The sequence below is a fragment of the Homo sapiens genome, chromosome 1 (genome assembly GCF_000001405.40).
Source record: "Homo sapiens chromosome 1, GRCh38.p14 Primary Assembly".
NCBI classification, from domain to species: domain Eukaryota; kingdom Metazoa; phylum Chordata; class Mammalia; order Primates; family Hominidae; genus Homo; species Homo sapiens.
Genome location: NC_000001.11, coordinates 56,148,951 through 56,174,851, shown reverse-complemented (window position 1 = coordinate 56,174,851; position 25,901 = coordinate 56,148,951). Strand labels below are relative to the sequence as shown.

Here is a 25,901-nt window from a genome sequence, read left to right as displayed (position 1 = left end):
TAAAAGTATCTATAATTGGTAGCTGGTAATGGTCTTGCTCACTAGCTATAAACAGCTAGAAAAAATGAGTAATATATATGATACATCTGTTTTCACACATTGGATGATACAAGATCATGCTCCAAGAGAGAAGGTAAACAAATGGGGTGAGCCCTATAGTCAACTCAATTTTCAGTCTGGGAGCACTTTCTGGAATGTGGCATAGGGAGGGGGAACCCAAGCAAAGCTTGAAAGTTTCACTGAGTTGAGAAAACAAAGAGAGGAGTTTGGGAAGGCCTAAGTGACTTGAACTGCAAGGTAGAGTATCAGAGAAAAGGGAGATAAGCCCAGAAAGAGATCCAGAAATATACATAGGAGTCCCTGTGAGCCTTTGGCTGAATATTATCTGGTGCATGTATAGAATGGGACTCTCTGAGGTCAAGTGAAGAACAAGTATCTGGCAAAGAATTCCTAATGAGGGAGTGTAAGCCAAATAATTCCTAGAGCCAACAAAGGGCTGGGAGTTCTGACCAATCAGAATACAGAAATCTTGTTGACCCTCTAGGGCATTCGGTAGAGATTCAAGAAGGTTCATGCCATGGTAGCAGAGTAAAGGACAGTCTAAATCTAGACTTACTCTAACAAGATTTAAAAACAATATGTGAAAGCAAAAGCTGATTCACAAGCAACTTAAATGTCGAACAGAACAAGCTGTCACATTCTTTAAAGGAAGACAGCAAAATCTAGATATTTAATAATGTAAAACTTACAATGTCCAATATCCAATAAAAAATACTAGATATGCAAAGAAACAGAAAAATGTCACCCATATCTGGAATAATAATCAGTCAGTAGAAATGAATCCAAAAGTTATAGAGATGATGTAATTAGATGACAAGAACTCTAAAATTGCTATTATAAATATTTCGAAGTATCTAAAGAATAATATAAACACAATGAGTCAAGAAATAACCAAATGGAAATTCTAGAGTTGAATAATGAAGTATCTGAAATACAATATTCATCTGATGGACTTAACAACAGAACAAAAGATTAGCAAACTTGCAACTAACCAACTGAAGACATGTAGATAAAAGAAACATAAGACAAAAAATAAACAGAGCCTCAATTACCTTGAGAAAATATGAAATAGTATAATATCTATATAATTAGAGACCCAGAAAAAGGAGGGAAGAAAAATTATTTAAGAAATAATTGCCATTTTTTTTTCCCAAGGATCTCAACAGGACAAACACAAAGAAAATATCAAGGTGCATCATAGACAAATTATTGAAAATCAGCAATAAGGAGAAAACCTTAAAAACAGCAAGATAAAAAGATGCATTATGTGTAAAATTAAAAAAGAAAACAATGATTGCTGAATTCTTATCATACCAATGCACAAAAGACAACAGAACAATATCTTTAATGTGTGAAAAGTAAAAAAAAAAATGTCAAACTAAGTTTTACATTCAGGAAAAATATTCTTTGAAAATAGAAGACAATGAGATTTCTGATTTGTGGTTATCACTCCCATTCTCATAATAAGAAAAAATCTGAAAAAACTGGAAATCCACAACTCTTCTTAAAATTGAGGTAACAGGGCAAGCCACTACCTTGAATATTAGAGACAGGAAGATACAAAGAATTCAGCTTAAAGAAAGAAGGAAGCCTTGGAGGAGAAGCCTGGTGCTGGAGCCTGTACCACTTTCCACAACATCAACTGTGCTACTGTATAATAACAGGGCATTATAGCCAAAGAACTGTAAGCCTCAGACCCTATTTAAGGAAGAGTCTCCAGGGAAATCTAAAAATAACAGGGAAGACTAAAACAAGGACACCCAGAGAAAATGCTAGCCTTTGATATGTACAGCTATAGCAACTGGCAAACACAATGTAACTCCTAGCCAGATCAACATTGAACCTCACACAAAAGGTCTATTTACTTCATTTCCTTCTAATTGATACATCCTCTCAGGCTGTCAGCAAAAAACTAGAAGACGTGAAAATGCAAAAACTCTGTCTGAAGAGAGAAAGCATGCCTTAGACTCAGACTGGCAGAAATTTTGAGTGATCAAACCAGATATTTAAAATAACTATGATTAAAATGCTAGCAGAATGGAAAAAGTAAACAACATGCACAAATGGAAGGCAAAACAAAGACATTTTCAAATAAGCAAAAGGTGATAGAATGTGTCATCCACAGACCTGCACTATAAAAAATGGTAGAGGAAGTTCTTCAGTATGAAAGTGAATGATACCAGATGGAAACTGAGATCTACAAAATGAAACATCACTGGAAATAGTAAATACATGGGTAAGTATAAAACATTTTTTTCTCATTTAAAAAGAGTATCTTTAAGGGCAAATTAATTATTTAAATAAAAATAATAACTACATTGTATAGTTAACATATGCAGAGGTGAAATGTATGATGAGGATCACAAAGTAAGGCGGGCAGAAATGATAGTTTACTCTTTTAAGTTTCTTACATTATATATTATTTGATATTTGATGAATATTATTTGATGGTAGTCAGTGTTTAAAAGAGGCATACTGTAAATCCTAACAAAACTACAAAATAAATAAAACTAAACGTTGTTGTTAATAAATCACTAGAAAAGATAAAATGTAACACAGATCCTGCATAATTCATCCAAACAAAATCAGAAAAAGTAGAAAAAAGAAACCAAAAAACCAGGTGGGATAAACAGAAAACTAACAAGATAGTAGATGGAAACAAAACATATTGGTAAAATGGTAAAAATATGTCCATATTCTAAAAGAAAATAACCTAACTGAAATTGCCAACATTTTGTAAAACTATTTATTCACTGAACATCAAAAATGGAGAGCTCTTATCCAAGTCTAAATTGATTTAAACTGAGGATGCTGTCCATCATAGTCTTCTCATTTTCCAGGGTTAGCTCTGGATGGTACTGCTGCCTCCAAGCAGCATCAAGATTTAGGAGGGCTAACAGTGATCGGACATAATAGGTGAGCTTTGGGTCTCTTTACTGGAGAACTGGCCAAGGGCAAAGGAATGTGGATAAATATTAACTATGGAGTAAATGATCCATTATAGAAACAAAAACCAAAGCAGCTATATCCATGTTCTATCTTGCATTTTATATATATATGTGTGTGTGTATATATATATATTTATAATATAAACAAATTATTTTTTCTTTTTCCCTTACTCTTAATATTTTATATGAGCAGTGTTGGTGGTAGTTGCCTTTATAATTTAGTTTTTTTAGGTCATAGAATATCTAGGTAGAATTGTGAATCATGGAAATGGTGGCTGACAGGGCTTTATGCTTCTCAGTTTTTGAAAATGATGAGAGAATTTTTGTATGAGGAAGAGGTACATCATGTCGTGCAGGGCCATGATTCTGTTATCAATGGAAGTTAAATATGGCTAAAAGGGTGAGAAAGAATCTGAGTAACTAAAGGGCTAGACTGCACCAACTACTGACTGCTGTCAGCTCCTTTCCAAGTTTTCCATGCTCTGTTCTGTATCATAGGGGCTAGGCTTCTGCAAAGTACACTTCCCAGACTCCCTTGATGGTGGGCTTCCCTTTCTGTTTCACCGGTGGGAGGTAACAGCAGCAGACTGCATGCAAAGCAGAGCTAGAACTGGGGCAGGGAGACAGATAGAGAGGAAGGTCATTGCTCTTCTCTTTATGCTTTTGCTGTTGCCACTGGCAGAACTGAGTGGCTATGTACTCCAGCCACCTTCAGTAGATCTGGCTGCAGTAGATCTGGTGGGTGATTGCTAGTGATGGCCAGAGGTCATGGGCTTCAGTGATATCAGTAAGTCGGGCAGTTGTGATTACAGCAGCATAAGCAGTAGCTGCTGTCTGACCCCGCAGCAGCAGAGTTGGCAGTTAGTGTTCCTAGGCTCTGCTAACACCACCTCCATCCTTCTGTGCCTCCAGCCCTACTGGTGGTAGCAGCTTCCTGAAGTTACTAATCTCTGGGATTATTTACAACCCCCTTTTGGCTTCCTTTGCTTTCGAATGCTTTTGGAACCAAGTGCCTGCATCAAATCCTCCCTCCCAACCCTTGTTTGAAATAATTAGTGTAGTTTTCATTTTCCTGATCAGACTCTCACTGATTTAGGGGACAGGAGAGATTTAAGCAAATATAAGCTCCTTCTAAAGGGTTTCCTAATATCTCCACTGCAGGATAGGCCAACTCATGAGGTACTTACCACACCCCTGTCTCTTTGGGCATGCCAAGTCCAGCTACCCCCAACTCTCAGGTCTTTGAGTATGTTCAAACAGACAACACGTGCCTAGGATTCAAACTGAAGCTGGGACATGTTCAGTAGGTATTAAGGTGGTTTATATTAACCTTAAATGTCCCTTTTAGTTGTAATATTTTCGAATAGTGGTTTCCATCCTGTGGATCATTGTGGGATGTTAGAAATTTTTTTTGGAAGGGATTCATAAATCCATGTGGGCACAAGAATTTGTATACTGGAAAAAATGTAGTTTCTCGAAATATTATCTTTTTTAAAACAAGTGTATGAAAATAGCTTTAGGATTAGTAAAATATAAATTTATGAAATACAAATTTATGTATATAAATGAATACACAGCTGTTTTTGGTAACTGCAATTTAAAAAATCAATGTAGTCTAATAATATTATTTTTTCTTCTTGTGATGGGGATAAATACAAAAATTATTTTATTTTTAAAAAGAAGCACTTTTACCTGACAGAGTTGTAACCCTTATACCAGAGCTCTGACTTTCAAATATGGCATAGTTTCAAATTCAAGTGACTCATTTTAAAAGTTCTAAAGCTTGCAGTGTTTGGAGGACAATTTTCTGGAACCAATCTTTGCTTAACAAGAGTTTATTTTTTTAAACTATGATATTACTAAGTAACTCAGATTTAATATACTTAGGTCATTTAGGAATTCCATCAGAAACGGGCTTTTATTGGCAAGATAATTAATTTTATGGACATGCATAGTTTTTGTTTCCTCCTTAACAGAAAATTTTAATTACATCTTAAGAATCCAGGGAGCAAATTTTGAGAATAGCAGTAAAATACGACTTTAAGGTGAGCTTAAGTTATAGTCCCTGGTTTTCTTCTGGCTGTCAACACAAGTGCTGCCATTTTAGGATGTTAGATTAACTAACATGATTACTTCTGCCATAAAAATTACTAGTGACAATGCATTGTGGTTGAAAGAAGGGAACCTAACATTTATTGGTGGCCTACTAAGAGCAGGATGCCAAACCAGGTTATATATATATGAAACTTAACAGAAGCTCCAAAATTGCAATAATTTGGCCAGGAACATGTAGTTAATAGCTAGCCAAGGCAGAATTTAAATAGATGTTTGTTTGGTTAAGAGCTAGATTTGACACCAAATGCCTGAGTTTGACCTCAATTCCTCCAATAATTATCTATATGACCTTGGTCTAGTCATTACCTCTAGCTTCAGCTTCCTTATCTGTAAAATGGGAACAGTTACACTGCCTCTATCATAGGGTGGTTTCAGAATTCAATGTGAAGGCCAGGCGTGGTGGCTCACGCCTGTAATCCCAGCTCTTTGGGAGGCCGAGGCGGGCGGATCACGAGGTCGGGAGATCGAGACCAGCCTGGCTAACACGGTGAAACCCCGTCTCTACTAAAAATACAAAAAATTAGCCGGGCATGGTGGCTGGCGCCTCTAGTCCCAGCTACTCGGGAGGCTGAGGCAGGAGAATGGCATGAACCCGGGAGGCGGAGCTTGCAGTGAACCCAGATTGCGCCACTGCACTCCAGCCTGGGCGACAGAGCGAGACTCCATCTCCAAAACAAAAACAAAAACACAGAATTCAATGTGACAATGCACATTAGGCACAAAGCATATTGACTGACACATAGTAACTATTCTAAATGTTAGCTCTTACTATCTTTATAACGCTCCCATTTTCCTTAAAATTAGAGTTAGTAAAATTGATGTTTAGACCTAAGTCTATCACTAACAACTAAAGTTGTATGAGTTTCAAAAAGTCACTTCAACCTCTAAACTTCAGTTTTTTAATCTGTAAAATGGAGATAATTAATAATTATTTTCCAGCCTCTTTTGAAGGCTATTATACAAGAATTAAATGAGATTAAGGAGGCAAAAAAATAAAATGCTTTGTGCACAATCGTGAGTTTATAAATATATAAATATACATTATACTAAATATATAGTTGTTTTTGAGAGGTTCACCTTGGCTTAGAGTTTATCTGATTTAAGAATAAAGTGTTGCCTCATTTAAGGTTTTGATTTATTTACATGTTTTCATATGTAATTTTAAATGTCTTCAGGAAAGGGTGTGCATGCTCTGTTTGAAACCCATTGCCAGTTTCAATATTTCTTCCTCTTCCCAGAGAAAGGCTCAGTCTAGCAGCAGAGCAAACTGGACATTTTCTCACCATTTGTTTCACCAGAGAAAGGAAGGGACAGCAACTTGGAGTCTGGAGCTGACGCAGAGGATGTTTCTTGATATCTTCAACTTGAACCTGTCTCACTTGACAGATTTATGCTGCCAGAGTGGTTCTTCTAGTAAGAAGCCCCTTGCCATCAGACACTGCATTTCACTTGGTGATTTTCCAGACTCCTCAAATCTTTTATGGAAAGAGGTAGATCACGGATACAAATATAAAAAGATAAAAATAGCAACTTGCCTTTCAATTGAGTAAAACAATTTATTCAGCATAGTAAAGATGAATTAAATTTGTGGAAGTTATCCCATTAGATTATCTTTTAAATGATTAATATAAAGCCAGAAGATGTATTTCACTTCCAAAGGCATAACCTGTTAATCTCAAAATTCTACAATTTCTCTTTATCTCTCCTTTTTTCTCGACCCCTTGGGTTCATTCCCCATCCTTGCTTTTCCAGGCTGCTGCCATTCTTCTAAATACACTTTCTGTAGTCTTCTAGCACCTTCACATTCCAGTGTCCACCTTGTTGCCTTGTTGCCAGAGAGACCTTTTTCAGATACACATCTGAGTATGTTATTCTCTTTCAATTTCTCCCCATTACCGTCAACACAAAGTCCACACCTTTTGCATAACAGTGCTCACAAGAAATACTAGCTTCCTACATCCTTTCATTGCCTAACCTGGCGCTTAAAGCCTCCACAGTCTGTTTTCCATCTGCTCTTATATTGTTATTTTCTTCTGCCCTTTTCCACTTTACAAATTCCCAGCCATCCAGGACATCTTTATGTTCCCCAAGGATGAGTTAAACGTTCATATTTCCATGCCTTTTTTCACTTTTTTCTCTCTCTTCCCTGACTAGAAAATTTGTATTCCTCTTTTTAGAATCAGCCACCTTGTGCTACATCCTTTGTGAAGACTTATTTGCCAGTCCCTGACAACCCCCCTTTCCCACCTGTAGATTCAGCTCCCCTACCTCTGCACTTTCATAGCATCTAGTACTTACATATCTCTAAGAGTACACTTGGATATTAGCCTGTAGCATTTGTGCACATGGCTGTCTCTCTCAATGGACTGTGAGCTCCTTGAGGGTAGAGACTGCCTATCTTATTTTATTTTTTGAGTCATTAGTGACAAATATAGTGCCTGGTACAGGGTGCTAGTAGACTGTAATGGCTCAACAGTTAAACTACAGATTCAAAAAGACCTGAGTGGGAAGTCCAATGTTAGTACTTACTAGCTAAGTAATATTGGGAAAGTCACCTGATTCCTCTTGATTTTAACTTTTTTTCATCTGTAAAATGCAGACAATAACAAAATACCTATCTTATAAGGCTGTTGCAAAAATTAAATAAGTTAGTATGTGTAGACCTTTCTTTTTTTTTTTTAGACGGAGTCTCGCTCTGTCGCCCAGGCTGGAGTGCAGGGGCGCGATCTCGGCTCACTGAAGGCTCCGCCCCCCGGGTTCATGCCATTCTCTGGCCTCAGCCTCCCGAGTACCTGGGACTACAGGCGCCCGCCACCTCGCCCGGCTAATTTTTTTTTGTATTTTTAGTAGAGACGGGGTTTCACTGTGTTAGCCAGGCTGGTCTCGGTCTCCCGACCTCGTGATCCGCCCGCCTCGGCCTCCCAAAGTGCAGGGATTACAGGCGTGAGCCACTGCGCCTGGCCCCTGGTATGTGTAGAACCTTCAAAGCAATGTCTGGCATAGTAACTCTGTACTTTGTTTTGGCTTTATTATTATTATTATTGTTGTTGTTACCTCTTACAATTGTTGGGAAGATTACATAAGATTGCTCATACATGGGAAATGTTTAGCATGGCAACTGGCTTGGAGTACACGTTCAATATGGATTAGATGTTTTAATCATTATTACTTTTATTATTAAGAATTGTTGAAGAAATGATCTTCCTGTTTTCTTGTCTGTTGCCCTTTAGACACCATCTCTGGAAGTTCCACTGACTTCAAAACTCACTACATCCAAAATTTATCTCACAATATTCCCCTGAAACCTGCTCATGTAAAAATGCTTGGCAGAGCAGCTACATAAATATTTTCTTCCTCTCGTCCTGTCCCCTTCCCTCTCTTCTTCCTCCTTCTCCATCCCTTTCTGTTTTTCTCCCTAATTATCCCATCACCTTTCTCTTGGTGTTCTAAAATTAATCTCTTGCCTCTCCTTCCCCTCAACACAATATTTCACTGATTCCCATGATATTTTTGAAAGGTGTCTGGGTTGCATGTATTTCTGTGTCATTCTCATGGCCCTTTCTTTGCAGAGTTTCACCTGCCACCTGGATCATTTCCTATTTTTCTGCAGCCACTTCAGGGCGGGGACCCAGTATCACGAAGCTGCAAGGTAAAAAGGATCAAACCTTAACTGCCTACATGTGCTCACAGGAACATAAGTGAGTGAGGCTCACCAGCAACCAGGAAGTGAGCTGAGCCTAACATATGGGAGAGATCCTGTCTCATCTGCAGGGAAGAGCTGCTATATAGGAAAGTATCTGCTCATTGCTGCCATGTGGGAATGCTGGTATTGCTGGACTTTCTGATGTTTTAGGAGAAACTGCTGATCTGTGCATGAAGTCTGATATATAAAGATGATACTATATTTATGTGTCTATGGATAAATAAATAATGTCAACTGGTTCCAGAAAAAAAAAACAAAAACAAACAACAACAACAACAACAAAAAACCACTGTGTGGGCTAAACAAGCCTGCTGATTAGATTTGGCACATTGACAGTGAGGTTAAGGTGCCTAAGTGCCTGAAAAACTTATGTGTTTTTGTTTATGAGAACAACTTCAGCAAAGTTTCAAGATACAAAATCAATTTACAAAAATCAGTAGCATTTCTATACATCAACAACGTCTAAGATGAGACCCAAATCAAGAATGAGGTCCCATTCACAACAGTCACACACACAAAATATCTAGGAATACAGCTAGCCAAGAAGGTGAAAGATCTCTACAACAAGATTATAAAACACTGCTCAAAGAAATCAGAGATGACATAAACAAATGGAAAAATATTACATGCTCATAGATAGTAAGAATCAATATTGTTAAAATGTCCATATTGCCCAAAGCAACTTATAGATTCAGTGCTATTCCTAGCAAACTACCAGTGATATTTTTCACAGAATTAGAAAAAAAAAAAAAACTATTCAAAAATCCTATGGAACTTTTAGAGCCTGAATAGTGAAAAATAGGTTAAGCAAAAAGAACAAAACTGAAGGCATCACGTTACCTGACTTTAAACCATATTACAGAGTTACAATAACCAAAACATCATAGTACTGGTACAAAAACAGACACATGGACCAATGCAACAGAATAGAGAGCCTAGAAATAAAGCCACACACCTACAGTCATCTGATCTTTGACAACATCTACAAAAACAAGCAATGAGAAAAGACTTCCTGTTCAACAAATGGTGCTGAGATAACTGCCTAGCCATATGCAGAAGATTGAAACTGGACCGCCCCCCCCACCCTTTTTTTTTTTTTTTTTTTTTTTTACCATATACAAAAACCAACTCAAGATGGATTAAAGACTTAAATGTAAAACCTAAAACTATAAAAAACCTAGAAGAAATCCTAGGAAAAACTATTATGGACATAGGTCCTGGCAAAGATTTCATGACAAAGATGCCAAAAGCAATTGCAACAAAAAGAAAAATTGACACATGGGACCTAATTAAATTAATGAGCTTCTGTACAGCAAAAGAAACAATCAACAGAGTGAAGAGACAACCTACAGAATGGAAGAAAATATTTTCAAACTGCATCTGACAAACTTCTAATATCTAGAATCTATAAGGAACTTAAACAAAATAACAAGCAGAAAACAAACAATCCCATTAAAAATTGGGCAAAGGACATGAATAGACACTTTTCAAAAGAAGACATACACACAGTCAATAAGCATGAAAAAATGCTCAACATTACTAATTATTAAAGAAATCCAAATCAAAACCAAATGAAATTGGGCAAAGGGCATGAACAGACACTTTTCAAAAGAAGACATACACACAAGCCAATAAGCATGAAAAAATGTTCAACATCACTAATTATTAAAGAAATCCAAATCAAAACCAAAGAAATTGGGCAAAGGACATGAATAGACACTTTTCAAAAGAAGACATACACACAGCCAATAAGCATGAAAAAATGCTGAACATCACTAATTATTAAAGAAATCCAAATCAAAACCAAAATGAAATACCATCACACTCCAATCAGAATGGCTAATATTAAAAGGTTAAAAAATAACAGATGCTGGTAAGGCTGTGGAGAAAATAAAACACTTATACACTGTTGGTGGGAATGTAAGTTAGCTCAGCCATTTTAGAAAACAGTTTGGCAATTTCTCAAATAACTTAAAATAGAACTACCATTTGACCCAGCAGTCCCATTATTGGGTATATACCCAAAGCAATGTAAATTTTCTACCATAAATTCACATGCATGCATATGTTCATCACAGCACTATTCACAATAGCAGAAACATGGAATCAAATGCTCTTCAACAGTAGACTGGATGAAGAAAATATGGTACATATACACCATGGAATACTACACAGGTTTAAAAAGAACAAGACCATGTCCTTTGCAGGGACATGGATGGAGCTGGAGGTCGTTACCCTAAGCAAACTAATGCAGGAACAGAATACTAAATACTGCATGTTCTCACTTACAAGTGAGAGCTAAACATTGGGTACACATGAACACAGAGAAGGAAACAACAGACTTTGGGACCTACTGGAAGGTAGAGGGCGGGACCAGGGTGAGGATTGAAAAACTACCTATTGAGTACTATGTTTAACACCTGGGTGATGAAATAATCTGTATAACAAACCCCCATGATATGCAATTTACTTATATAATAAACCTGCACATGTTCACCTGAGTCTAAAATAAAAGTTAAAAAAAAAGAATCAAGATTTGAGAAAAAAAAAATGTTTATGAGAACAAATGCATTCAAGTCTTTTTACCCTCCTATCTACTTCCCAGGCCTTTATTCAATTTATTTCTGCCTCCTGGATTTTTCTCTATTATTTAATCTCATCTTCAAAGCCCTTCTTTCATACCTTTTATACCAATTGAGAACTTTCTCTATGGTGAGAAGGTGAATTGATAAGAAGGAAATATAAGGAGATAACTGGTGAAGTAACAGACAAAACCTGGTAGAAAATAGACACAACAGTTCCTCAAATATTTTGAAAAATCTAGTCTTCTCTTTGGTACTATTGCACTCAGAGGAGAGTTGAAGATAACTTTTATGTTAATTGAATTATAAAGCATTTTACATTTCATTAGTGTCTAACTAGATTGTGGGTTCCTCAATGGCAAGGAACTGGCATTAAATACGAATTATATTCAGGGCTCCTATAGATCGGCAGATAACTGGATATATAAACATCAACAAATAATTAACTACAAGTCAGTTAGGACTGACCACTGGTTAGTTTTAGTTAGGAGGAGAATCATATTAATACACAATAGATATAACAATATTAGCTTTAGTTTATTAGCTTTAGTTAGGAGGGGAATCATATTAATGTGCAATTGATATAACAATCTTTCAATATAGGGCTAAGGCTTTTGCTTTGCCTGTAGATCTACTGACTGGAATGGCCAGTTGACTATTTCTCTCTTTTTAATTCTTTTTCTCTTTAATTTTTAAATTTTGTTTTATCATGGTAAGAACCCTTAACATGAGATTTACCCCCTAAACAAAATTCTAAGTGTACAGTACAGTATTGCTGTATATACCTGTATAGAGATAATGTTTTACAGCAGGTCTCTGAACTTCTTCATCTTGCATAATTGAGACTTTATGCTCATTGATTAGCAACTCACAATTTCCTGCTTCCCTTAACCCCTGACAACCACCATTCCACCCTCTGATTCTATGAGTCTATTTTAGATACCTCATATAAGTGGAATTATGCAGCCTTTGTCCTTCTGTGATGGGCTTATTTCACTTAGCTTAATATCCTCAAGGTTCATCCATGCTGTTGCATATTGCAGGGTTTCCTTTTCTGATGGCCGAATATCAGCCAACTCTCTTGAGTGATTGTACCCATAACCTCTACAATTTTAAGGTTCTTTAAAGTGAAGCAAGCTATAAAGGCACTTGGAGGGAATTTGAATGTTTAAGCCTTTTAGTTTTTTATAATTTTCCTCCAATCTTTTACCGTGGTCTTTATCATGACTAATTTGACAAGTGTCTTTTACCAAGTTGACTTTAATTACTGGTCTTGATACAGTTGTATTAAATATTTGTATTGAGATAGTTGTATGAACTTTATCATATAAATACAAATGTCTTTATAAAACCTCAAGTTTTATCGTTTCTCAGCCTTTTGGCTAAGATCAAGTGTAAAAACTCACATTTTATTAGCTTACATGATATTTCATTCAATCTTATTACATTAAAAAATACAACAGAGGACAATGAGGACAAATACAACTGACTTTTGCTTAGCATATCACTGTACTGCTGGGAGATAAGATTCTGGCATGCTGAACACTAACCCAACAGCACTAGACACCCTCTATTCTGTAGGCATAACTTTAAATTTTTTACAAAATGAATGGAAGCTATTGGATATTCTATCAGATCATTAGGTGAAGGTTCAGGTAAGAAAGTATTTACACTACTATTGATTGGATTCAAGTAGCATTTATTGGGTTCTTTACAATAATAATATTTTCTCACCCATGTATATGTTCAGTGCAATTTCCAAGGTGCATTTTCTTATATTATCATATAAGAATCCCTATGAATAAAACTTTTTTCCCTTTTGACAGAGGAGGAATATAATTTTCAGAAAGGTTAAAGTGACATCCCTAAGATCATGCAGCTTGAAAATAACAGAGTGGAGTCTAGAAACCTGTTCTGGTCTGACCTCAAGTCCAGGGCTCTTTCTGCTTCCCCAGTGCTTCCTCTCTATACCAGGCAGTTGGCTAAATGAGCCTTAAAGACCCGTTCAGTTCTAGCATGCTCTGATTCTATGATATATTAGCAATATCCTGTATACATCATGCATTGTATTGCTAGGAGCTAGCTGTGCCTTCATATCTCTGTGGCCACTGGCAAGATGTGGAAAGAGGAGATTAAGTGGAGGGGCCAATTGGTTTCAGATTGGTTGGGTAAATGTTTCAGAACATCTTTGGGTTTGTCCCTCTCTCCTTTGATGAATGGCTCTCACCTCTTTTTGACATATTGATCTTGAGTGCTGGGTATTTTTCTCTTACCAGCTTTGCTGCCAGTTTTCCATCCATCCCCCGGGGCTGAGATGAGGTGAGAGGTAAGTTGTTTGTGAGTATGACTTGACTGAGCAGTGCAACCAGGCTGAACGTTTAGAAAGCCCTTCTGTACTTGGAGCCTGCTTTCATGTCTTGAAAATCCTGATTTATTTCAGGACAGGGAAAATCTGAGCTGGCATGCAGAGTGGAAATTAAAATCTTAAAACTATGTATGAAAATTGAATATTCCAAATGGCCTGGTTTAAACATCACTCCGCATCGTTGATCAAATGTAAAAGTTCTTGAAATGAAACGGGGATTTATGAGTAGGTATAGGACTGGAGAAAGGCTTGACGAATATTTATGGGTAACTTCAAGGAATTCCACTCACTGCACTTTAGTCTGATTTTTGTACCCTCAAGTCTTTGCTTTGGAGATTTCAAGCCTGCAAATGCTTATAAATTTAAAAATATTTTGGTTTGGCTGTATTCTTTTAACTTCTGAATTTTGTCAAGGAGTGGAAGAGAGACTATATATATTTATTTCCACATATTTATCACACTGCATATAAGTATATGCATATATTTTTCTTTAGATTTATGTCTGTGACCTTGAGAAGAGAAACCTTGCTTTAATTATCTCTGCACACCCTGACCTAATACAGTGCCTGGAAAATAGGAGACAGAGACCCCTATATGTGCTCTACTGACTCATATTTGTTAGTTATATTTGTTGAACACCTCCTTGTGCTAGGCCCTGTGCAAGTTACCAAGGGATGTACAGAGACAAATGGAGAGAGCAGGAATTTAAAAAATGACCTTAACTTTAAAACATAAAGAAATAAAATTTTAAAATGCAAAACATAAAACCATCCAGACTTACAAATCAATTCCTTTTTTGTAAGCTTCAGTCAACAGCCCTGCAGGTGAGCAAATGTTGATCATTTCATATACATATCTTAGGTTTGGAAGGAAGAGGCAGGGATGTCTATTTGAATTTTATTCTCCCTTTGGCTGGAGAGGAATGAGATTTACACATACAACCTTTGTTGTTGGACAGGTTGGTGACAGTGGTGTAAGCGTCATCAATGAAATCCAAGACATGGTTTTAGGTACTTCCACATAAATTATCTCAAAAGTTCTGTAAGATTGGGAATTTTACTTATTTATTCATTTATTTATTTTTAGATGGGATCTTGCTCTGTTGGCCAGGCTGGAGTGCAGTGGCATGATCTTGGCTCACTGCAACCTCCACCTCCTGGGTTCAAGCAATTCTCTGCCTCAGCCTCCTGAGTAGCTGGGATGACAGGCAGCTGCCACCATGCCTGGCTAAGTTTTGTGTTTTTAGTAGAGATGGGGTTTCACCATCTTGGCCAGCCTGGTCTTGAACTCCTGACCTCGTGATCCACCCCCACCCTACCCTCCCAAAGTGCTGGGATTACAGGTGTGAGCCACTGCGCCCAGCCAGGAATTTTACTTATATATTTTTTAAATGCTCTTCCTCTTCCTGAAAGACTTACCTTCTACCTTCCATCTGTTAAACACTCTCTGTCTTTCAGGTGACAGCTCCAGGGGTGCCCCTTGTATGATGCCTCCTCTTCTAACTGCATGCTGGTTCATAGTCTCCTTCCTTTCTACTCATGTAATGCTTTGCATATTCCTCAAGCATGGCACATATGCATCTGCATGGCAAATAGTCTTTTCTGAAGGTTGGACTGTGAGCTCCTCAAAGCAGCTTACTGATTCACAGTAAATACCATTCTTCCATGCAAGTGCTCAAACTGGGACTCTGGGAGCTTGTCCTACCACCTTCTCAACCTTGCTACTACTCATGCAATGAGTCATCAGGTCCTTTGCATTTTACCCCTAAATACAACTTGGAGCCTCCAACTCTTTCCACTGTGGCCATTTAGTTCACGTCAACCTCACGTCTCTTCAGAGAGCTCCTGGCTGGCCCCACTATTTTCACTCTCCTAAAACTTTCTCTTTTTTCCCTGCTTAAAACTCTTCTGCAAATCCCCATTACAGCTAAAATGAAATCCACAGATCTTAACATCCCCTACAGATCCCTGCATGATCTGGTTCCTTCCTGCCTATCCAGCTCTATCTTGGACCTCGGCTCCCTGACCTCCAAATGCATTGGCATCTTCTTTGTCAAGTGCATTTGTACATCACATTTCTTCTGCCTAGAATGTTCTCTGTCCCACTGTTCACATAGCTAGCTCCTGCTATCTTCAGATCTTAGCTCAAATGCCACAATCACAAGTGGACCCCTGAGATTTTCTTCAGAGGAGTTTATTTTTTTCTTTATAGTATCTATCAGAATTTTTATTTACTTATCTATTTATTTTTGCTTAAAGTCTCTCTTCTCCCCTGGAATGTAAGACCCATTGGGAGAGAGATGCATCAGTCATTGTTTTTTTTTCCATATATATATATATGTATGTATATACACATACATATATATATAGTACTAAGTTAGTGCCTGAGAGTACAGGAGACATTTACTAAGTATTTATTAAAAAATTAAATAAAGGAATGGATAAAAATAAAATTCTTCAAGCATGACTATCACACCACTACTATTGAATGGGCCCCTTATTTGTATTTAGTGTGTTTCTCCCTAGTAAAGGTAATTAAAATATATATTTAGTTTTTGTTTTTTTCTCCTATAGATAGGTCATATATGAATATATATATCATATATATCACACATATATCATATATATATATCATATATATATGATATATATATATGATATATATATATCATATATATATATACTTTTTGTATATGGACAGAGTTTTACTCTGTTGCCCAGGCAGGAGTGCAATGGCGTGATCTTGGGTCACTGGAACCTCCACTTTCTGGATTCAAGCGATTCTTTTGCCTCAGCTTCCTGGGTATCTGGAACTACAGGTGCCCACCACCATGCCTGGCTAATTTTTGTATTTTTAGTAGAAATGGGGTTTCACCATATTGGCCAGGCTGGTCTCAAACTCCTGACCTCCAGTGATCCACCTGCCTTGGCCTCCTAAAGTGCTAGGATTACAGGCGTGAGCCACCGTGCCCGGCCTGTATTTTTATAGGTTGTGAATATCCTTTTATTCTCACCTTTCCCTCACCTAGCAGTAACTGGAAGGTGCTAATTGGCCCATCTATGAGCACCTAAAACGCTCCATCTGAAAATGCCCACCTCCTGCCCATGCACCTGTAAGTTGTCCATCCCTGCACTCTCTGGCCTCCCACCCTCTAGGGGAGGTCTGCTTCCTTCACTTTGGAGAGGGCTGCTGCGCAAGCCATTGTAGCCCCATTTTATATACAAGGAAACTGAGGCAAGCATACAGTGAAACAACTTGGCTGAGCTAGAACAGAGTCTCAGGACTACCTGTCAAAGAAGATAAATGGACTAGTCAAGGAAAGTTGGGGAGGAATTCAAACCACATGCCTGGCCTAGGCTGACAGTGAGGCTTAATGCAGGTAACCACACTTCACATCCTGTGCCGGGTTTGAAGTGCTCTGGTGATCTGCAAAGAGAGCCTCAACACAGCCAACTCACTGCCAAAAAAGAAATTCTCACTCAGAATATTGGCCAAACAACATTTTTATTTGAAAGAAACCAAGCCAAATAAAAACACATAGTATTTTCTTCTCATGCCTTTCCTTGCCTGGGATATTTATTTATTTACTTTTCTTTCATTCTCCTGACCACCTCTGACATTGTTTTTATTTTGAGGAGATTTAAAAATAACTTCCCTGTACTCATTCATCTTGCTCTCCTGAGATAGAGGGAATTTTCACATTTTCCAGCCAGTTTTAATGTAGCAGAAACAATCAGAGGTGCTGCTGTGACTTTTGGTGTATTAGAAAAGGGGAGGGCTGGGGCAGGTGGGCTTGGCCAATAAAATACAGCTGGGGAACAGGAAACTGCAGAGAGATTTCCCAGACTTGGCCTGCGCTGCAGCCCCGCTGTGCTCTCCTGTGAAGCTGCACCAGGCCTCTGGGCTGAATTCCCACCTGGGCTTGAGAGGGCCCTCCCATGTTGGTCCTTCTTGCTCCCTAGTGCAAGACTTCCTTTGCCCACAACGACACTGCCTCCCATGTACAGAACAGTGCTATCGCTATGACTCATTTCTGCATCTTGATTGCTGAGATCACTGATCAGGTTTGTGACAAAACAGCATCAAATCTGAAGAGTTGTGTCCTCCCCGCACCACCCCCCTCGCCCCCACCATTATTTGCTCACCTTGAAGGTAATCCAGGATAGGAGTCCCTCTGAAGCAAACAGAACATCCATCAAAGACCCGAAAGAACATAAGGTAATTGGCCGGGTGCGGTGGGTCATGCCTGTAATCCCAGCACTTTGGGAGGCCGAGGCGGGTGGATCACAAGGTCAGGAGTTCGAGACCAGCTTGGCTAACATGGTGAAACCCCGTCTCTACTAAAAATACAAAAATTAACTGGGCATGGAGGCGTGCGCCTGTGATCCCAGCTACTCAGGAGGCTGAGGCAGGAGAGTCGCTGGAACCCAGGAGGTGGAGGTTGCAGTGAGCCGAGATTGCGCCATTGCACTCCAGCCTGGGTGACAGGGCAAGACTCCATCTCAAAAAAAAAAGGAAAGAAGAAAAGGAATATAAAGTAATTTATTCCAGCTTGTTTTCTGTTTATTTCATTGTTCCAAGCATGATTCCCTCCATTCCATCTGCAAGTTGAATTCCAGATCATCTTCCCAATCATCCTCCCTGAAGGGCATTTCTGAGAATGTCATTCAAACTACTTCCATGGTTTTTCTGTGGGCCTTTGCTTATTGCTGTTTCCTTGCCCTTGAATGGCCTTCCCCGGGGTTTTTGTGTTACTACCCATTCCTCTAGGCTCAGTTCTAATTCCACCTCCTCCACCATAAAGCCTTCTTGGAGGAAATTAAGTGTAAAAGCCCATGCTCTAGAACTGGGATTACCTGGAGATTGTCATTATTATTATAATTATTATATACATGTTCATGGTGATGATGGTGGTGGAGGTGAATTCCAAGTTATTCACTTGCTAGCTATACAACTTAGAGGTATTTGCTTAATCATTGTCTCAGTTGCCATATCTGTAAAGTGGGAATAATATTTATGTCTATTTCATAGAACTTTTGAGAATACTTACTGAGTTAAAAGATGTGAAGTAGTTAGATTAGTTAAGTGTTCAATATCATCTTCTCTATAAAATCAAGTTGATTTGGACTTCTATAATAATTCTTACAGCCTTCATGCATTTCTTAAATAAATACTTGTCAAGGTTATATGTGCTAGGCACTCTGTGAGGAAGATAATCACAGTGTAGGATGCCGTGTTTATAGTATTGTATGTTTGACTCCTGTCCTTGTTCTCAGGCCGCAAATCCTATCTATGAAGATAGGCACTTCCATTCATTCTGAAGTCCTCACATAGTAGTTATTCAGTGAATGTACCCTGGGGTGAGTTAAATTTTTCTATGGATTAAAGATCTTTCATAGAGATGGGCCCTGAAGGAGCCATGTTTTACCAACTGATCATCCCTGATCTCATAGGAGAAGTGGATGTGTCTAATGGCATTACTTTGAATAGAGACATATATCACTTAAAGATAGCATCTGATATCACATGAAACTCAAAGTTTATGTAAAAGAATAGCACATCAATAACACAACTACTAACACCACTATCACCATCACTATTGCTATTACCATCACCACCATCATTATCACCATCACAACCATCACCAACATGTATAGCATCGCCACCATCATTACACCACTACCACCACCCCCACTACCGTCATCACAACTATCACCATTATATATACCGTCATCACCATCACCAGCATCATTATCACTACCACCATGAGCACCCCAACACCATCACCTCCACCACCATCATCACCATAAACATGTATATAATAATAATAAGGACAAAAAGTTAACAGACATTGTTGATTTTCAAGGTTACCCAATAATTTTATTAGATGGGAATTATTTTTATCACATTTGATGACAGAAGTAAGTTTCAAATGCCATCACTTTTTAAATTTGTGTATTTTTTCTATTTTAGAAATAGTAATATCAATGATTTTGCAGGGTATATCCTGTTTGTTCCTCCAGATCCACTTTTCACCTTTCCCCTTACCTGCTTTGTGCTTCAAGAAACTGACTTCAACAGACAGCATCATCTGGGCTTCTTTACCCTGTAGTGTTCAGCTGAGTTCAGCCAATGGAAGACACTAGTAGAAGACTGGAAGGATAGAGGAGAGAAAGATTGGAATATTTATTCCCATCTCATACTACAGTTTTTGTAGTGATGGTTCTTCCTATTGGACAGCTTCCACCTATAACTACAGTTCTCTCCTGGTTCCAGAAACTGCTTTCTCCACTTCTGACCTAGGAGTAGCCACAGCTCCCAGCTGTTGTTAGACCCCAGGTGTATTTTGTCATCTCTTGTTACTTCCCTTAACCCTGCCACAGCTCTGAAAATAGTCCAGTAATTAAATACTTTTTGAGCTATTTCTTTGAGTATACCACCTGTTTGTTTCGTGCCTGGACCCTGAGTGATACAGTATAATAAATAATGTTCAATACAATATACAATGTAAAATACAATAGATAATACAATTCCTAAAAACAAAAAGGAAGAAAGGAAATAAAGAATAAAAAAAGAAACAAAGAAGGAAAACCGGATTTCTACCACCAAAATGAAATTATTATTACAATTATAGTGTATTTACTTTTAGCTTTTTAAATGCAATTTTTATGTAGTCATTACTGTGGTATATATGTATTTATGCTTATTAAGTAGTTATTTTTAACATTGCCTGGTCTCTATCAACATCATTTTTAATGATTGGATAATGGACTATTTGGGGGTGTTTTAATTTATTTTTCAAGTTACAAATGATGCTGTTTCTATATTTTGGTTATATCTATGACAGATTTCCTAAAGTATGATTTTTAGATAAAAGGAAATGAATACTTTTTGACTCTCAATAATATTCTCAAATTTCAAATTAAAGGATTCTATTTAGAGGGTAATATAAGTCTCATTTTTTAAAGCAAACCTATTATCCCTAAATGTCTATTTTTAAAAATTAAAAATATTTAGCAAAAATGTTTTCTATTAAAAAAGGAGAGATTTAAAACATTAATAGTTATTTTCATAATTGTTTTGTTTCATATGGCTTTTGCTACTAATTTTTTTTCCACATTCAGTGTAAGCTTCCTTTTACAATTAGGTTAACATTGTTATTTTTTGCTCTTTTTGTGGCTTTCTTAAAGTTTTTCATAGTCTAAATGCATATTTAATTAATAATCAAAGGTAAAAGCAAACAAAAGTTTTGATATTTTGTGCACCATAGGTTTTTTTGGCATTAATTTTGATTCTTTAAAAATATTGCATTACAGTCTTATTTATCTTGCTGACATCTCTTAAAATTTTGCTCTGGAGGCAAGTGCCTTGCTCACCTCACCCTCATCTTGGCTCTAAGGCCGGTGTCTCACTCATGTTAGCACCTTCAGTCCTTAGCATAGGTTCAGCCCCTCCAAGGTATGTGATGCATCCTGACTGTTTGCTTATTGGGGCAATTTATTATGCTATGTCTTACATATAACGTGTTTTGGAAGAGGGACTCTCGAGCTGATTGACATGAATCATTTCCCTGTCCATAGAAACAGACTTTCCCATGCCCTCTGCTGCCCACTGTCTGGGTAAATGAAGCATTTCTGAGGTGATGGCTTTTGTAAATGTGCCTTAGAGCCCTCTGTTTGATTATCCATTTCATTATGATTGCCTTCCTTTACACAAATACTATCTAAATATTATGACAAGAAATAAAAACAAAACAAGATGAAAAAGGAAAACCAACCATCCATTCTTCTTTCTTCAGGATTAAGCATTGAGCAAAAGTATAAAACAATTACAATTTTACCTAATTGACTGCAGCTGTGCAAACAGACCAGAACCCTAGGAGACTGATGTTCCCCCACCCCTTCCCAACCCTCACCCCATGAACATTTTGATAACTGGGTTTGTTTCACTTTTGCCCAAGGTAAGGTGTGGATAGGAAGAATAAAACCAGGTTGACTGGATGAGAAGGGAAGGAATGTATCCTTTTGTAAGAGTCAAATGGAGCTTGTGCCCACGGGATTTGATTCTTTTGTGGTTCCAATCTCCAAAACTCCCTTGTCAAGAGGAAAAGGTCATCTGGTCTCAAAATAGACTAGAGAAGGTCAGAGCAACAGTCCGTCTTTCTAGGCTTTGTCTTACATAGAGAGGAGGGAATTTTATGATACCTGGTCAATTTGTGTCAGTCTCTTTAAATTTGCTGCGATTGCATTTTATCCTTGGAAGTATGTGTGCTTATCCTCATTTTATAGATTAAGAGATAGGAGCTTAGAATGGTGAATGGTTGAAAGTTAACTTCTCTAACTAGTTCTGGGGAATTTGGGATCTGGACTTCCATGGCTTGATTCTGAAGTCCATGATCAGACATGGTCTTTTATGACATTATGTTCCATAACCAGTATTATCTGCAGGGCTCCTTGAATCCTGGCTTCTACCTTTTCCCCCTCACTTCTGTCACCTACGTACTTTCAAAACCTCCAGCATCCTCCTCCATTCTCCTACTCTCAACTACCTCATTCTTGGATCCTTGTTATCTGCTTCTCTCAGCAGTGGCCTCCCTTGACATCTGAGGTTTTTTTTTTCTTTTTTTTTTTTTTGTATTTTTATTTATTATTATTATTTTTTTATATATATATTTTATTATAAAACTTTGGAGGTTTAGGCTGGGCGCTGTGGCTCATGCCTGTAATCCCAGCACTTTGGGAGGCCGAGGCGGGCGGATCACAAGGTCAGGAGATGGAGACCATCCTGGTTAACACGGTGAAACACCGTCTCTACTAAAAATACAAAAAATTAGCCAGGCGTGGTGGCTGGCGCCTGTAGTCCCAGCTACTCGGGAGGCTGAGGCAGGAGAATGGCGTGAACCCAGGAGGCAGAGCTTGTAGTGAGCCAAGATCGCGCCACTGCACTCTAGCCTGGGCGACAGAGTGAGACTCCATCTCAAAAAAACAAAACAAAACAAAACAAAACAAAAACAAAACTTTGGAGGTTTAAAGCTGAAAGGGGCCACCAGCAAGAACCTTCATAAAGGCAGAAGATAATGAATGTTGTTGGTTTTTGTAAAATCTTTAGCACTCCACATGAATACTTGGAAGACCTTAAGAAGGTGCCAAATGAATGCATGTTAGATAAACATATTTTAAAAAGACACACAAGGACCTTGCTTTCTAAAAATAATGAAATTGTTATATTGATGTCATAAATTTTTACTATAATTCTTATTAGTGATTTCTCAGATTCTACGTGATATATTTAAGATTTTCCAGTTGTACTTTAGTAACAGAATCTTGGATCTCTGACTGCCACAATGTTTATTTTTAAAATGCAAGAAAAGCAGATATGATAAATAAAGAAAACTTTCAAAAGGATTGGTTCAGAGTAAGTCAGAAAGGCTGAAGTGTGAAAATGTATCTGTGTCAGGCACTGAGTATTGCGTAAGTCCAGGGCATAAAGAGCAGAGGTCAAAGCTGCTGAATTTGGAATCACAAGTCTTGGTTCTACATGAAACTCTGATCAGCCCCTTGATCTTAGACAAATCCCTTGCTCTCTCTTAGCCTAAACTTTCTCTTATTTTAAAATGATGTGATTGAGACATCTGACAGATATCTCTGGTCTTTTGAACTCTAAAGTCATTGGTTCAGATCTAAAGTCATTGGTTCTCTGAAAGTGAGTGCTCATAATTATGGAGTTTATATTCTCAGAGAGGCATATGTCAGTTTTAGAGGGTAATAATTTACAATCATCTCCTGTAAACGGATTCTCTTCACATACATCACAGAGCTGCATGGTGGTGGTAGCTTTTGCCATGTCTTCATCCAAGAGACGCCTTGAACAGTGCCTTGCATCCTCAGTCCTGGGGACATGTTTGTGTGGAAACGTGACTTGCAGGCGATTGAACTGAACCCAAAGGAATGTTTCAGGTTTGCTCTTGGCAAAGTCCTCCTTTCTTTGCTCCCTAATGAAGAACTGGAGGGCCAAGAGAGGCCTCACATAGCTCTTCTTGGCTGTTGCCTCCCTCTTTAAACAATGCTGGATGCATTCTCTAGAAAGAAAAGGAAACATATGGATTGAATTTCCCTCAAATGCACTGTGGTCTAGGAGTGGATTGGAGGCTGGTGGAAGGGGGGGAGTGGGGCAGAGAGGAAGGCTTTGGTGCAGCACACCAGGTAACTTAGTAAAACCTGGGTACCCTGAGAAGCGGTGGGGTGAACGTCAGGGGTCAATAACTAGCTGTGACTAGGTGTGCTCCATACTGGCCACAGTAGGACAGACCTTTATAGAGGACCCTTGGAAATGAAGGAGTGAGTAGAATGATGTTGTATTGGGAAACAGGGAAAAGATGTGGTCACTGAGTCAGGCAGAGGCTTCCAAAATTTTTGAAGAGTCCTCAAAAGTCCGAATGTCAAGGGATGTTTTTTTCTGAGGAAAGCAGGTCTGGCTCTATTTTGTGCCTTGTGCAATGGGATTGAGAGTTTGGGATTTAATTTAGTTTAATGAGAACAGCATAAAACAGTGTGTACAAATCCTACTTCTCTTGCCAAACTACTGAAGACTCACTAAATGGAGAGTCATGATGGGGCTCTCTCTTTGGCATTGGAGAAACAATTGCATATGGCAACTTGGAGGGCAAGAAAGGGAAGATGGAGACTGTTTGAGAGTAGAAGTGCACCATTGTGCTTTTGTGCATGTTGTGCTTCCACTTACAAAGTCCTCTCATCCTTCTTTCTCTTTGTGACCAACTCCCTCTGCTTCTTCAGTGCCTGAGCTTCCTGCCATGATACCCAGGCTTGCAAGATCATGTTCCCTCAGGAGTGACAAGCTGTACAAAGCTCTCTTGCTACATGTACATGAGGACTTGAATTAATCTGTAATTTTACATGTGTATAGATAGCTTCTTCTAGACACCGGCGAGCATGTGGTACTGCTCTCTCTTGATCCTGATCCTAGATACCTGTTTCTGTCCTACTGGTCCAGAGTGAAATCCTAAAAACTGAGCACTTGACTGTTGGCCTGACTCATTCCTAGTACTAATATGTCCTTTCCCTTGGGGAAACTGGTGCCTGACTTCCATCATCTCCTTTAGAATGAGTCGTTTTAGTGTACTTGAGAACCAAGAACAGCAAATGCTCTGAAGCGTGAATCACATGACGCCTCTTTCCTTTGAATCAGATTCTCCCTGGTTTTAAACTTAAGATTACACTGAGTCTTGCCCATCTCCATTTGACTTGATTTTGAATTGCCAGGTCCATTGGGCGAGGGGCTGATTTTGTTGGTCACAGTCTTCTTTCCCAGTCTCTAAATTTGTTTATCCCTTTTAGTGATGGGAGCTCCCAACATGCCATGTCATAAATGAAAATATCATTTAAGACTTACTCTAATGTTAATTCTTTTGTGGAGTCTGTCCTCCCTTATTTAAGAAAAAATAGTGGCTCCCTTTCACTTGCTTCTCATATTCATTTTGCATTTATTATGTTGTATTATAATTGTGACCTCTTCGAAGGGCAGAGACTAGGCATGCTTTGTAATTGAATTGTTATAGTGATACAGTCCTATTTTCATTCCTTGATATCTCCTAGAGTGTATGGCAAGACAAGCGTGCTCAATAAAAGTTTCTGGAGCAGATGAAATATTTATTTCCGTGCCCCACTCTTACAGATGAGAAGGTGGCACTCAAAGAAGCTTGATGACTTAACCAGATCCTCAGTGAAATCCTTTAGGGCAAAACCATGTTTAATTTATCTTCATACTTCCAATGCCCATCACAGCACCTGGCATGTATTAGACAATCAATATATGTATTGTATTGAATTGTAAAGGAATTCTGAAGACCACAAATCTACTTAGTGTCAGGGCTAGGGCTATAAACATGTATTGGCATTTAAAATCTCAGGCTATAGTAAGATTAAATTGTAACCAAGATGTTCAAGGTATTAAAAAAAGAGGTAACATGACGACATCTCTTAAAGTTTAGTTTTGGCAGATAGTTCTTATCTATTCTTCCTTTTTACCGGATATCCCTTTTTATTGTCCTGTCCAAATCATACAACACTTAAAATATGTGCTTGGCTTAACACTGAGCAAGCCATTTCCTT

General features: G+C 38.2%; 2 long non-coding RNA genes across 2 annotated transcripts; both read left to right on the top strand.

Moving 5' to 3' along the window:
* The first annotated feature begins 2,304 nt into the window (after positions 1-2,304).
* LOC124904187 (uncharacterized) lies at positions 2,305-11,340 on the top strand. Its single transcript, XR_007066108.1, has 3 exons — positions 2,305-2,976; positions 6,362-6,613; positions 8,693-11,340. It is a non-coding gene; the product is annotated as an uncharacterized LOC124904187 (long non-coding RNA).
* Positions 11,341-16,470: 5,130 nt separating this feature from the next.
* LOC124904188 (uncharacterized) lies at positions 16,471-20,195 on the top strand. Its single transcript, XR_007066109.1, has 2 exons — positions 16,471-19,133; positions 19,797-20,195. It is a non-coding gene; the product is annotated as an uncharacterized LOC124904188 (long non-coding RNA).
* Positions 20,196-25,901: the final 5,706 nt, after the last annotated feature.